The following is a 13,324-nucleotide window of genomic DNA, read 5'->3' as shown; positions in this document are numbered from 1 at the left end:
TGGCACTTTTCCCCACCTCCCATCAGCTGGGGATTGTCTCTATTTCAGCTTTGCTTAGCCATTCTAAACAGTTTTGAATTTGATGAACAACTTGGTTATCTGTTCTTATTGCTAAATGTCTATGGTATTTGTGCTTGGCACTAAATTATTCATTAATCCAAATACTCCAGCCTTCTGTTGGTTGAGAGAGAGACAGACTCACTGTCGGTTCAGACAGTTGCCATTTGGTGGATAAATGGTTCCAAGACAGTTCTTCTCCCAAGAACTTACCGGAATGGGGAGACATAAGCGCTGTGTGGTCTGTTCTCTTTTACGGGAACCTGGTGTGTCTTGTGTATGCATACCCAAAAGCTGCTTTCAAACTTCAGGCGGTTGCTGAATGTTTCTAAGGTATGGTTTCAGGTATACTATAGTATTGTTGGGCATTATTACTGAATTTCATGGTGACATCAAAACATAAGAAATGTCACTCTTCAAATGACATTTCCTACGTGCTTGGCCACATTTTAACTTGGGGACTGCAGAAGTGTTACAGATGAGGCCTCAGAATGGCTCCCCACAATCAGGTGTGGGCAAGGCTGGTTAGTTACAGAGCCAGTATCTATTCACCGGATCCCTGGAAACAGGACTCTGGAGGTTGGAGATCTCCTGGGGCAGCCAGGCTGTGATTCTGCAGATTGAGAAGCTGAGGGGCTGAAGATAGGACAGGGCGTGGTGCCACACAGCTGGAGTTAGGACCACCCCAAATCCCAGGTCTCTGTCTTTCCCCATATTCAGTGGCAGTGTCTTGAAGCTTTCCATCTCAACACTGACAATTAAGCAATTCATAAATACTATTGCTTTTGTACTGGGTTTTGCAGGCAGAAGAATTTGCAAACTTGGAGACCAGATAGTAGGTGTGATAGGAAGTCTCAGACAAGAGTTTTAAGAAGAAAGCGGTGGTCGGGGGGAGACTTTCATTAAGAAAGTGTAGTTATACCCCAGTTTATAGTCCCAGTAAAAAGAAATGGGAGAAGTAGGGAGAAAAGAAACACGGCTGCTCCAAGAGGTTACTGAGAATATGGGAAGTCGAGAAGGACAGGTGTGAAAGAAGGAAAGAGGGTCATACATCCAAATACCACGGAAGGGTGGCCATGGAAACTGCTGGCCAACCAGCAGGAAGGCCCCAGCCCAGCCCAGCCTGAACTGAGCCTGGGGCAGCAGAGGTCAAAGGGAGCACAGAGGGAGTCGTTGCTTCTGTTCAGAGCAAGAGGATGGAGTAGGGTTAGTAGAGGCAGAGAGAAAACGAAAAGCCCCGTGCCTGGGGAGCAGCTGTGATCTCATCAGAGGTGGCCTGGCAGCTGGGAGTCACCCAGAGCTGCCCAAACCTCACTCTGTCACCAAGCCTGCTGGGTGACCTCAAGCAGGTTACTTACCTTCTGCAGTGTAAGTTTGGGTGAATGTGCCAAAAACCCCATCTCCACAAAAAATACCAAAGAATGACCCAGGCGTGGTGGCGTGTGCACCTGTGGTCCCAGCTACTCGGGAGGCTGAGGAGGAAGGATCGCTTGAACCCAGGAGGTTGAGGCAGCAGTGAGCCATGATTGTGCCATGCTACTCCAGCCTGGGCGACAGAGCAAGACTTTGTCTCAAAAAAATAAAATTAAAAACCCATTAAAATTTTGGAATAAAATCCAATACTTGGCAATATTTGGTAATTTTTTAATTAAAAATTTTAGTTTAATTTTTAAATGAAAACTTTTAATTTTGGTAAAATTTTTAAATTTTTGGTAGTTTTTTCTTCTTGGTAATTATGTCTTAATTACCAAGAATAAGAGTCTCTGGTGGTGAGGGAAGGAGCATCAAAGCTCAGGTGATATTCTTTACACAGAGAGAAAGGAAGCCTCAGATAATGAAGATGGCAGCAACATCCTCGTAGCCAAAATGTACAACTGTCCTTTCATGTGGCACCTGTGTCCACAGGCATGCACCCTGTACCTCCCGCCCACAAGGGGAGTCCACCCTACCTGAGAAGCGTCCTTTTTTTTTTGAGACAGAGTCTCTCCGTTGCCCATGCTGGAGTGCAGTGGCAGGACCTCTGCTCACTGCAACCTCCGCCTACTGGGTTCAAGTGATTCTCTTGCCTCAGCCTCCGAAGTAGCTGGGGTTACAGGTGCCCACTGCCATGCCTGGCTAATTATTGTATTTTTAGTAAAAATGGGGTTTCACCACATTGGCCAGGCTGGTCTCAAACTCCTGACCTCAGGTAATCGGCCCGCCTCGGCCTCCCAAAGTGCCGGGATTACAGGTGTGAGCCACTGCACCTGGTCAGAAGGGTCATTTTAAATAGCCACTTTTGCAGAATATATACTAAAAAAGTATTATTATGAAGCACACTTTATAAAGTCTTAACTAGCTGAACGAAGCACAATGTGTTCTCTAAAAAGAACATGAAACCCAACCAATCTATTAGCATTCTTTAAGGAGTCAGAAACAGGCCTGGAGACGAGGGAGAAACCCAGGATGAATTCTGTTTAGACTTTCAAAATTCCTTCTGACAAAGTTCCATCCCAAAGGTCATTTACAATAGTAAGTCTCTCCAGCATGTGCGGGGAAATTGCCGTGGATCAGAATTATCCTTAGAGACAAGAAATAAAAAATAGGATAAACAGGTACTTTTCTGGATGAAGAATTATTAACAGTGAGGATCCCCCAGGAACGTGGGTGCATCCAGACTTAGTTTAAATTTACATGGATTATCTGAAGAAGAGAAAGCTCAGATGGTTCCAGGCTTTGGGATGAAATGAAGACTATGCAGAGATGGCAAACAAATGGTGATTAACTGCAGGATGAGCTTAGGAGTTAGCAAGAACATGCATATTAAGCTTTTGCAGGCGCAAGTCTGTTAATGCATTTATGAGAACATAATCCAAATTACAGGAAAATGGACTTTGTCCAGTCTGTTTATAGCCACAAAGGAGGATCCTTGGGGTCTTTGCAAAATGTTTGTTTGCTACAGGCCACTCAGGACCAAGTGTTCAGAAAATGCTAAAATACTGTCAGAAACGATATTGGAAAACAAGCGAAAAATAGTATTCTACCTGGGCTCTACCCAAACCTGGCAGTTGTATTCTCTTCCCCTTGAGAAAAATCTCTCAGAACTGCAGAAGGTGAGCAATGTCATCACCTGAAGTTCTTCGCAAGAGGCCGGGCTGCTTTGTACCTTAAGGGTTTTAGTGTGGAAAGATGAAGCCAGAAAGGCGATATGATCAAAGTCTATAAAACCTTGAAGGTTATGGAGAGAGAGAACAAGTACTGATTCATCAAATCTGAGATGACCAGACCCCAGGACGGCCCTTAAAGTCTGAAAGAGGAATTTGAAGGATAAATTAAAAATAAGGATCCGTTCTCACACTCTGAGTTGTAAATTGAAGCAACTCAGTTCCTCAAGACATGGTCTGGACAAACATTTTTCAGGACATGGGGGAATGGGTGGTTACTCAAGAAATGTTGTCAAATTCTTGGTCAGTAAGTGAATGGTGGATTAAGAGCCATTGGTAACATATCCCTACGCTTGCGAGGTTGGCAAAAATACCTGGAACCAGTGTTGGGTCGTTTCCTCCATATTAGACAGGGATCTGTTAGAGAAATCTAGATCAAGCTAGTTTCAGCAAAATAAGGAATTTTTCTCAGCTTCCATAGCTGGAAGAGGTACTAGGGTAGCTCACAGGAGCTCAGGAAGAGCTGCAGGAGAGTCATATGCTGAAGAGTGGCTTGGGGAGGCTTAGCCTAAATAAAGTCTTCATCACTCCCCAAAAAGCTCACCTGATAAAATACAACTTAAGTAAAAACAAGATGTCAGCTGGGCACAGCGGCTCATACCTATAATCCCGGCACTTTGTGCGGCAGAGACAGGCAGATCACTTGAGCCCAGGAGTTTGAGACCAGCCTGGCTAACATGGTGAAACCCTGTCTCTACTGAAAGTACAAAAATTAGCCGGGTGTGGTGGCGTGTGCCTGTAATCCCAGCAGCTCAGGAGGCTGAGACACAAGAATTGCTTGAACCCAGGAGGCGGAGGTTGCAGTGAGCCGAGGTCGCACCATTGCGCTCCAGCCTCCTGGGCGACAGGGCAGCTGTCACACACACACACTATGTCACGTCCTCAAATGCTGCCTCAACTACTAACACTCATAAACACTCACCCTCGCACAAGATTGCTGCCCTAAACCGATCCTATGTTGGAGTCGGACCAGAACTGAAGCTTCTGTAGCAACAATCTCAAGAAAGATTCTGATTGGTCCAGCTTGAGTCACTTGCAATCACCATTTTATTGAAAGTAATTGTTAGGTTATCTGTCTTGGCTTGACTTTAATCCCAAGGGGCAGAAACTGACAGACCTGGGTCTTCTGTGCACCTGCCAGCAGCAAGGAGGGCATGGGCCCGAGATTGATAGAACTTACAAACCCAGCTATTCCCCTAGACATGAATCGCCTAAGGGAGCTCCTTAAAAATGCTGATGCCCAGGCTCTACCCCACAGAGATTCAGATATAGCTGCTTTGGAGAAGGGCCTGGGCAACTCTAATCTTTTTACATCTCCCACAGTGGTCTCCCAAAAGAATAAATCCCTCCCCTTCTTGAGGCTTTGGGTTGGGCTCCCAGGTGCTTCACAGGCTCCCCCAAGCTCTTTGCTCTGTTTCTCCAGCTTCACCTCTTCCTTCTACAGCCGCACTTCAGCCTTTGCAGATCCTCAGGTAAAGCACACTTTGTTCCTGGCGTGCTGGGTGTTCCTTCTGCCTGGAGTTTTCTCCCTGCCATCCCCTCCCTTGCCCGTCAACTTCCCCTGGCATACTCCTACACTGGGAAAGCTTCTTTCCCCTCCCTGCACCCCAAGCTGGGCTGGAGCCCCCTGGCGCCTGTGTTCTGTGTCTCCCCTGTCAGAGTCTGTGTTATGCTTTATTGAAAGTGATTGTTAAGTAATCTGTCTCGCCTTGACTTTAAGCCCGGTGCGGACTTGCTCACCACCATTGGAATGAATGGCACACACAGTACGCCAAGCATGGGGTTCGGCCAGCTTGGCTTGGCATTTTTTAGCCATTTATTGGGTGCGTACTTAAGCGTTCCCAGCCTCAGTTTCTTCATCTGCAAAATGAGGATGGTAATAGAATCTTCATTAGCTGAAAGTTTCTAGAAATGTAAAGTACTCAGCTGGCATCTGACACAATGTAAAAATACGTCAAAATATTAGCCATTATTTTGAAAGACACCACCTTTTTTGGTAAAGGTCATTCACTCCTCACCTCTCCTTTAGCACTCATTTTTCTCTATTATCTGTTTCTACCAGCAATTCAGAAATAGGGACTGTCTTATTTCTTTATCCCCCAAGGTCTAGCCTGCAGCAGGTCCTGAATATATATTTGTTGACTGATGACTCAGGCCCTAGATTTGAGAACACTCTGTTCATACCTAGAAGCAGGCAAAGTTGGAACCCCTGACTATCACTGCCCCTGAGAAGACTTCAGCCGTATGCAGAACCCTTCCTTTCAGAAGCCCCTTGACCCCTTTCCCCCCATCAAATAGCTACCCCCAGAGTGGAAAGGGAGAGAAGGTGGAGGGGGATGCTCAGGATTGAGGCCTCCACAGCCAGTGCTGAAGAAAAGGGGCAAGAGTCATGCATGAGAGTGTCTCTATCCCCAGGTCTAAGCTGTAGCCTAGGGGACACCACATACTTGGTTAGACTCTATGGGGCTGTTTGTTTGAAGTCAACTACACTTTTGAGTTAAATGAGTTTCTATGGCGAACGGAGTGCTGAGTTCTCAAATCTAACGTTTTAGGAATTTTTTATTCCTGCAGAGAGTTGGGGAGCTGTTTAAAAGTTGGTTGGTTTAGCCAGTATAGCTAGATTCCTCAAGGTCAACACAACGCCATACTGCTCTAGCTGGGGCTAGATTTCTCATGATAGTCTAAACTGTGTGATGGCCAAGTCCCCACTTTGAAGATGTCCAAATTCAGCCTCAGACATTTCTCCTCAAGAAAGGGGGGGAAAAAAAGCCTTTTGTGCCCCTTTCCCAAATTATTTGCTCATGTCGCAAGACTGGGGTCTCCTCCTAAAAAGGCAGCCAGTACCCGTCTCCCGGCAGGGACACTGGAACTCCCATGGCCTGGGGCCTCTTCCGAGTTCTATTCAGTTGTAGTCTTGGAGTGACAATATTATCAGCCCGATCCTTACAGATGAAGAAACTGAAATGTAGAGGTTAAAAGTCCTGCTGCGAGAAGAACCAACTGAAAAAAAAAAAATTCTCAGGCTTTACAGCAAGCAAACTTCACTATGATTTTTCACAATTCTGATTCTGTATTCTCTGGGGGTTATCTCAGTTGCTTCTTTAGGATGGGGTTCATTATGTTGTACATATATCCCAATGTGTCTGTATGAATCTTTGTCTTTTTTGGGGCAGTGTGGACGACGGGTTCTTTTTAGATACTGTTCCTAAAAAGGAATCAGTGCATACACCTGTTTGTCAAAGCACCTTTGCTTTTTGTGCAACTGCTTTATATTAACAATACTTAAAATAGCTTTGGAAAAAAAAACTACTGTATGTAATGGAATTGCAGAATATGCTGCACATGTATTTTATTTAGTTATCCTTTCTTTAAGAATATTGGATGACATTTCCTGACGTGGGAGGGAGAAACTCCTTTTTTTTTTCCTGCTTTTAAATTGTAACATAGTTGAAGATTTCTTTTTTCTGTTCTCATTGAAAAAAAAAAAAAAAGTCCTGCTGTGAAAAGTCCATTCTTGGGCAAGGGCAGCCCCAGAAGGGCGTGATTTCTGGGCTTCTGCGGGCTGCATGGCCTCCTCTGGATCCTGAGCCCTGGTCTCCAACCTGGACATGCTGCAGCAGTGACGGTGGTTAATTACTGTCCAGGTGACTTGGAATGCCAGTGATCCCTTCTCATTGGCGAGAGACTCTAGAACTAGCTCGTGAAAGGCAGACTCTAGCAAATGGTGTTAATTAGTGGAAAGGCCACTTGGTCACCTCTGTGCAGCCTGGCACAGTGCCTGCTTAGCGTGCCCCGGTGGCCGCTGGAATGGGCTGCCGTTCGGTGATGCTGCAGAATAAATTGTTGGGTCGGGCCCCAGGACTGGCCAAGCTTGAAAGGAAGAGCATTTTCGATGGTGGGCTTTCACTGGGAAAACCGTAGCATTTTGCAGACCCGTCCTGAAATGAACCCTGGTTTGGGGGAAAAATATTTAGAGCTTGTCGATCTGAGACCTCAATATTTCAGGGAAACACAGTGACACCCCCTCGTAAAGAAGAGTTGTGTCTGGCATTTCCACCTAAGGGAAGAGCAGCTTCGTGTTGCCCTGTTGCACAGCTGGCTGAGGTATGGTCCCCTTGTGTACCTGTTTTGTGGAAGCCAGATTCATAAGTCTTGCTGCTGGGGTTGTGTCTTCACAGCCATAGGGCCTTCTCCCCTCCCTTCAAACTTGCTCCTCTCCACACTCCCGACCTGGCAGCCGGAACCCCAAATGCAGCTGCAGCCCTGCAGCCTTGCACAAGCCTGTGTGGCCTTTGCAGCAGGTAAGGACTGTGATAGTGCTTAAGAGAAACCTCCAAATTGGATAAAAACCCAGAGGTGTTTTTCCCCAAAGAACCAGATGGGCAGGCTTGGGAGTGAGGTGAGGAGGGTGGCGGGAGGAGTTGGTTTGACTAAGAACACTTGCTCAGGACTATTTGTGTTTCATCCAAAAGATGTCTCTCAGGGGAAGTTACCAGTCCCTTAAATATCACAACGGCAGCAGAACTGCAGGGCCCAGGGAACCTTGGGAAGGAGATGTTTCTTTCCCAGAAAAATAAGCGACAGAGTTAGGAAAGGTCACCATACTGAAGCCCTCCCAAGTGCAGCCTTGCGGGCCTCGCAGAGAGCGCCAAACCATCCGGCCCTGCGCGCCACGCGGACCGGCATAGCCATCTCTCTGGAGTGGCAGCTGTGCCAAGGTGGCAAGGTTAGGCCCGCAGGCCCTCAGCACGGGGGCGCAGCCGGGGCAAGTCTTCAGGAAGCAGCGAGGTGCTTGAAGGGGGTGCTGGAGGCAGGCCAAACCCAGTCAGGATGGGTGGCCTGGGGCCACGACGGGCGGGAACCTCGAGGTGCGTTAGTAGCTGAGATGCAGAGAGCCATCCTGCCCAGACCTAGACAACTCGGAAGTGGGTTTTTCAGCCTCCTGCACCGGTGTCGCGTCTGAGTGCGACTGATGAGCCAGGGGGCGTCGGTGGAAGCTTGGGGTCGGCAGTCTGGTTGGAAAGTAGGGCTGGGATTTGCCTCCAAGGACAGTTTTTCTACTTGGATTGGATATTCGTGGAGGGGATTAAGGGGGCGTCCTGCCCCGCCTCATGCCCTGCGGCCTCCCAAGGGTGCTGGGCCTGGTTTGCAAGGACAGCCGCGGGCTGGAGATGGCGCGAGGGTCGGGGAGCGTGGCGCGCCCTCTGATCTAGGGCCGTGGTTTTCCGAGGTCCTCACGGCGAGCGCTGCGGCCGGGCAGCCTGGGTCCCCGCCCGGCCGCCTCCGGCTACCTCGCCGGCCTCGCTGAAACCCGAGCGCGAGGGGGCGGTGCGCAGGCGGCTGGGGCGCGGGGCCGCGTCGACATTGGCGGAGAACCGAGTGATGGATGGCGAGGGAGGGGCGCGCGGGGGGCGGCGCGGGAAGGGGAGCGCGCCGGGCGCCCGCGGCCGAGGTGGACGGAGCCTCCCGGCTCGCTGCTCCCGCCGGCGGAGCGAGGCTGCCCTTTCTTCGCAGCGTGATTTATTTTCTTCTTTTTTTCTGAACTCTTCTTCCAGGGAGAGGCTAGTGGTAACAGGCCGAGCTGGATGGATGGGTATGGGGAGAGGGGCAGGACGTTCAGCCCTGGGATTCTGGCCGACCCTCGCCTTCCTTCTCTGCAGCTTCCCCGCAGGTAAGGCACTGCCGGCCGGGCGCGCGGGGCCGGGTCCCTGGGCCGCCCCTCAATGCTGGGCCAGATGTGCGCGAGTGAGTCCGGGCTCAAGTTCTCCGGACCTCCTCCGGACCCCGCCTCCTATTTCCACGGGTCTTTTGTTTCTCCCGCACCCCGTCGTGGGTGCGATGCCTGCCCTTGGGGACCCGGAGAGGGGCACCCTGCCCGAGTTGCCGTGAGATGGAGCCGTGTGGGGAGGGCGCAGGGGCCGGGGTGCCTCACTCCCTTCCCTTTTTCCGAGAAAGGGGGTGGCTGGGAACGTGCCTCCTAGGGGCTCGGGAAGAGGGGGAGAAGGGGAGGCACGCCCTCGGTGCTGGGGACACTTTCTTCAGCTCCTCGCCCAGCAGTTTGCAAACCTGCCGGGTGCCCAGGGGTGGAGCCAGGGTCGCCCCTGAGGTCCCAGCCGAGTTCCCGACAGCCCCCTCCCCGGAGACCTCGTCTCGTTTCCACCCATTTGGCCACGCGGGGACACCCACGGACTCGGCTCAAATGAGCTGGTGTTCCTGTTTGATAACTTTCTGCGTCGCCCCCTGTTTGTTTTTATTGTGTCAGAAAAGGAGAGAATTTCAGAATTAAAGCTGAAAAAGCCCATCTGTTTCCAATGAATCCCCCATAGTTTTTCACAATGTTTTTGGCAGATCGCTGCTTTCAAATTCCTCCGAGCCCGGACCTCTTGTTTTTGTTGGGGGAAGGGAGACCAACTCCACAGAGAAGCATTTGTTCCTTCCCAAACGCTCCAGTTTCTTTACTTTTTTTCCTTTCGGGGGGAGGGGGGAGGCATGCAACTTAAATCCCCGGCCTGTTTTCTTTATGATGTTTCATAAAACTTTATTTCATTTTTGCCATATGCTGCTCACAGCCAGAAAACGCCAGTTAAGCCCTTTATACCCATTTTTTTTCTTGCTAAAAATACAAATAAACACAATGTCACGGGCCAAATGGCCCCCCCGGCGCAAGGCGGGATCTCCCAGCCGTTTCCATTGTGTTTGCGGGGTTCAGAGGTGTCTTTTTGAAAAAATTTCATCTTGTTTCGCACCACAGCCAGGCGTAGAGCCGCAGCCCCCGCGCACTACTGAGCTTTGCAAGAAAGGACTTGAGTTTAGACTCGGATTGGGTTATTTTGATTTGCTCTTCCGCCAACTGGGTTTCAAGGAACTGGCAAAACTGGGCAGGTCTGGCTCGGCCTGGCTGTGAGTTGGGGCTCCCAATGGGCGGACCACGCAGACAGTGAACAGTAGGGAGCGAGGGATCAGTTTACCCCCTAGTCCCAGCCCTGCTCCTGGCCCCCAGCGCCAGCTCAGACTTGTGCGTCCGGCTTACTCAACCACTGCGCACCCCAGAAGGGTCGCAGAGAGCCGCAACCTGCTCTCCAGACCTAGGTTCCATAGGGAGGCCTGGCCAAGGACAAGATGTCGGGTGAGGGATCTTGGTATCCCCAAAAAGTACTCAGCTTGGAATGTCAAAACCTCCGCAGGGGATCAAACAGCAGGGTGCCCTCTCCTCACCCCCAGTGTATTTAAAAGGCAGTTTCTCCACCTACTTAAGAGTCTGGTTGAACAGCCCAATTTGGTTTCCTCCCAAGAATTCAAAATTAAAATAAAAATCACCCTATTTAAGAAGAAGTCAACGTTTTGGAAAAGCAGGAGTTTGCAATTTGTGTTCTTGGTTTGGTCTAGATAAAGATCAAGCCCATTGGAAGTTTTATCAGATGGGTTGATAAATGGCTTTTGTCCCTTGGCTGCCGTGGGGGATGTGATCTCAGCTCAAAGCTGAAATTGAGAAGAGGGGCTTAGAGGCCCTTAAAACAACACCTTCCCGCTCTTAAAGCTGCAGCACTTGTTACCTTTTGGGGCTGGAGAGGAAAGGAAGGCCTGGCAGAAGTTTCCAGAGGTAGGAGGCTGCATGGCCTGAGTGGTGGTGGTTTTGTTGTTTCTCGATTTATTTCTCCATCCTAAAAACTTTTATTTTAAAGCATCCCGCCATAGGCTGAGGAACACTGGTAGGTTATATAAGTCACAGCCCAAATTCCATCACTTTTGTTTCCAAGAAACCCATTTCTTTTTGGCGTCAAGGCCGGTAACTAAAACCTGGCCGATGGAACTGATAGCTGCTCTCCTGTCACGCCAGCTGGCTAATGTTTCTTCTCATTTGAGGGCTTGACAGCTGCGTTTAGTCAAAATTGCCCACCTGACTGAAAACTGAGCTTCCAGTACCCCAAAACTAAATATACTGGGGGCTCCAAAACTTGTGTGCTCTAGAAATGTGGGTCAAAAGACAGTTTCTTAAGTAAGGGATGAAATGGGAAATTTCCACAACAGAGAGAGACTGTCCCATTCTTTGACACATTGACCAGGAGAGGGGCCGCTTAGGAATGAAGTTAGAAAACTTGCAGGTCTGATGGAGAGCAAGGCGGGAGATCGAGAAATAAAGCCCCAGCAAGTGGAAGGCACCCAGACACACTGGGGGCCCCTGTGTGCCTTGGCCTCTCCCGTTGAAGACAGGTGGAAACTGGCCGAGCAACTGCGTGAAAGCCTCGGTTTGTTCTGTGCTAGTCAGCTTGAATGGCTGCCAGGAGTAAGCCTATAGGAGTGCAAATTAAATCGAACATAGTTATGTGGAGAAAGATGCCTTCACCTCAGCTACACTGAGAGCGTTTGTGTGTTTCGAGTGTTTGCATTTACTTACTCCATGTGGATGGCCAACCTACTGGGTTCCTGACTCAGTGACAACTTTTGGAGCCTTCTAACCAAGCCCCTCAGGCAGACCACAGCCTGGTGATGAGAAAGGGCCCCTGCACTGTCAAGCGGTCTGGAAGGGTGTCTGTTTAGATGATTCTTTGGGGACAGCACAGGCAGACAGTGTCCACGTCTACCTAGGAAGGGAGGCCAGAAAGGACTCTTAAAAGAGCATTCCACAAATGGCATCCTACTCAAATCACAGCTAATAGATGGCTTTTTAAACTTTGAAGCCATTGTGACTTTTTCGAAAAGAGTTCCAAGAGAAATCCATCCAGGCATATGTTTCGGACATGTCACCAGGCTTCCTGTTCACTATGTGTGGGTCCTGTACTTCAGCACAGTGGTTCTCCAAGTGTGGTCCCTGGACCAGCAGCATTAGCCTTCCTTGGGAACTGGTTAGAAATGCAAGTTCTAGGCCCACCACAGACCTATAGAAGCAGTTACTCTGGAGCTGGGGCCCTGCAGTCTGTGTTCTAGAGCAGGCCCTCCAGAGAGCTCTGATGCATGCTCAAGTTTGAGGATCGCTGTTCTAAGAACTATTGCACTCCAGACTTTCTTTGTTCCTTCTTTCTTCCCCTTATACTTTGAACTGCAGCTGTTTTAGAAATGTTAGTCCTCAGTGGGTAACTAAGGTTTCGGGAGACCAAGGCCCTCTGCAGTGTCCAGGTACATCTGTGTCGCTATAGAAATGAGACTGTTTCTATCAGAGCTGCTATTCAAAAATGCATCGGCCAGGCGCGGTGGCTCACGCCCGTAACCCCAGCACTTTGAGAGGCCGAGGTGGGTGGATTGCTTGAGGCCAGGAGTTCGAGACCAGCCTGACCAACATAGCGAAACCCCGTTTCTACTGAAAATACAAAAATTAGCTGGGCGTGGTGGCATGAGCCTATAATCCCAGCTACTCGGGAGGCTGAGGCAGGAGAATCGCCCGAACCCGGGAGGTGGAGGTTGCAGTGAGCTGAGATCGCACCACTGTACTCCAGCCTGGGTGACAGAATGAAACTCCGTCTCAAAAAACAAACAAAAAAAAAATGCATCAGCAGATCAGCCTGCTTACCACACTATTGCTCTCCCAGTAGGACTTTGTGTCCCAAGGGGAGAGTGTCTTAGTTTGTTTGGGCTGCTGTAACAAAATACCATAAGTGGGTGGCTTATACATGACAGACATTTATTGCTCACAGTTCTGAAGGCTGAAAAGTCCAAGAGTGATAGGTGCTGGCAGATTTGATGTCTGGTTTGTAGATGGTGCCTTACAGCTCTGTCCTCACAGGGCAGAAGTGAGGGCACTCTGTGGGGTCCCTTTTATAAGAGCACTAATCCCATTCTTGAAACCTCCACCCTGATGACCTAATCACTTCCCAGATCCCTCCTACTTCTCATACCATCACTTTGGGGTTAGGCTTTAAAAGGTGAATTCGGAGTTGATGTTCAGTGGCAAGAACCAGCCAGCTAGCAACCAGTGTGTGACGGCACCTGCAGAGCAGCGCATTGGCTCCCAGGGAGAGCACGCACATAAAACTCTACAGATGGCCAGCCACTAGGCCCTGAGGGTGTATTGAGGAGAAAGGGAAAGGATCTCTAGTCTTGTGATCTGAGGAAGGGAAAGGTCTTTGCAA

The 13,324-nt window shown here is 49.5% G+C and overlaps 1 protein-coding gene across 6 annotated transcripts in view, besides 2 other annotated features; it reads left to right on the top strand.

Moving 5' to 3' along the window:
• RGMA (repulsive guidance molecule BMP co-receptor a) overlaps window positions 1-13,324 on the top strand; it is a 53,941-nt gene that overhangs the window by 7,365 nt on the left and 33,252 nt on the right. For 2 of the 6 annotated variants that reach the window (NM_020211.3, NM_001166287.2), the window contains exon 2: window positions 8,816-8,931. In NM_020211.3, the coding sequence (NP_064596.2) occupies window positions 8,816-8,931 (116 nt within the window). The other 4 variants (NM_001166283.2, NM_001166289.2, NM_001166288.2 and 1 more) reach the window with 4 other exon arrangements.
• Window positions 7,290-8,047: an enhancer, noted in NCBI's record as "H3K4me1 hESC enhancer chr15:93617029-93617786 (GRCh37/hg19 assembly coordinates)". NCBI's record gives its function as "activates a minimal SCP1, AML or CMV promoter by ChIP-STARR-seq in primed H9 embryonic stem cells {active_cell/tissue: H9 hESC(primed)}" and the evidence as "EXISTENCE:reporter gene assay evidence [ECO:0000049][PMID:30033119]".
• Window positions 8,204-8,342: a silencer, noted in NCBI's record as "fragment chr15:93616734-93616872 (GRCh37/hg19 assembly coordinates)". NCBI's record gives its function as "represses an EF-1alpha promoter that drives an FKBP-Casp9 reporter gene in an ReSE screen in HepG2 liver carcinoma cells {active_cell/tissue: HepG2}" and the evidence as "EXISTENCE:reporter gene assay evidence [ECO:0000049][PMID:32094911]".

Source organism: Homo sapiens, chromosome 15, assembly GCF_000001405.40.
Source record: "Homo sapiens chromosome 15, GRCh38.p14 Primary Assembly".
Classification (NCBI taxonomy): Eukaryota; Metazoa; Chordata; class Mammalia; order Primates; family Hominidae; genus Homo; species Homo sapiens.
The sequence above is the reverse complement of the archived record's forward strand: the minus strand, read 5'-3'. Positions and strand labels throughout refer to the sequence as shown.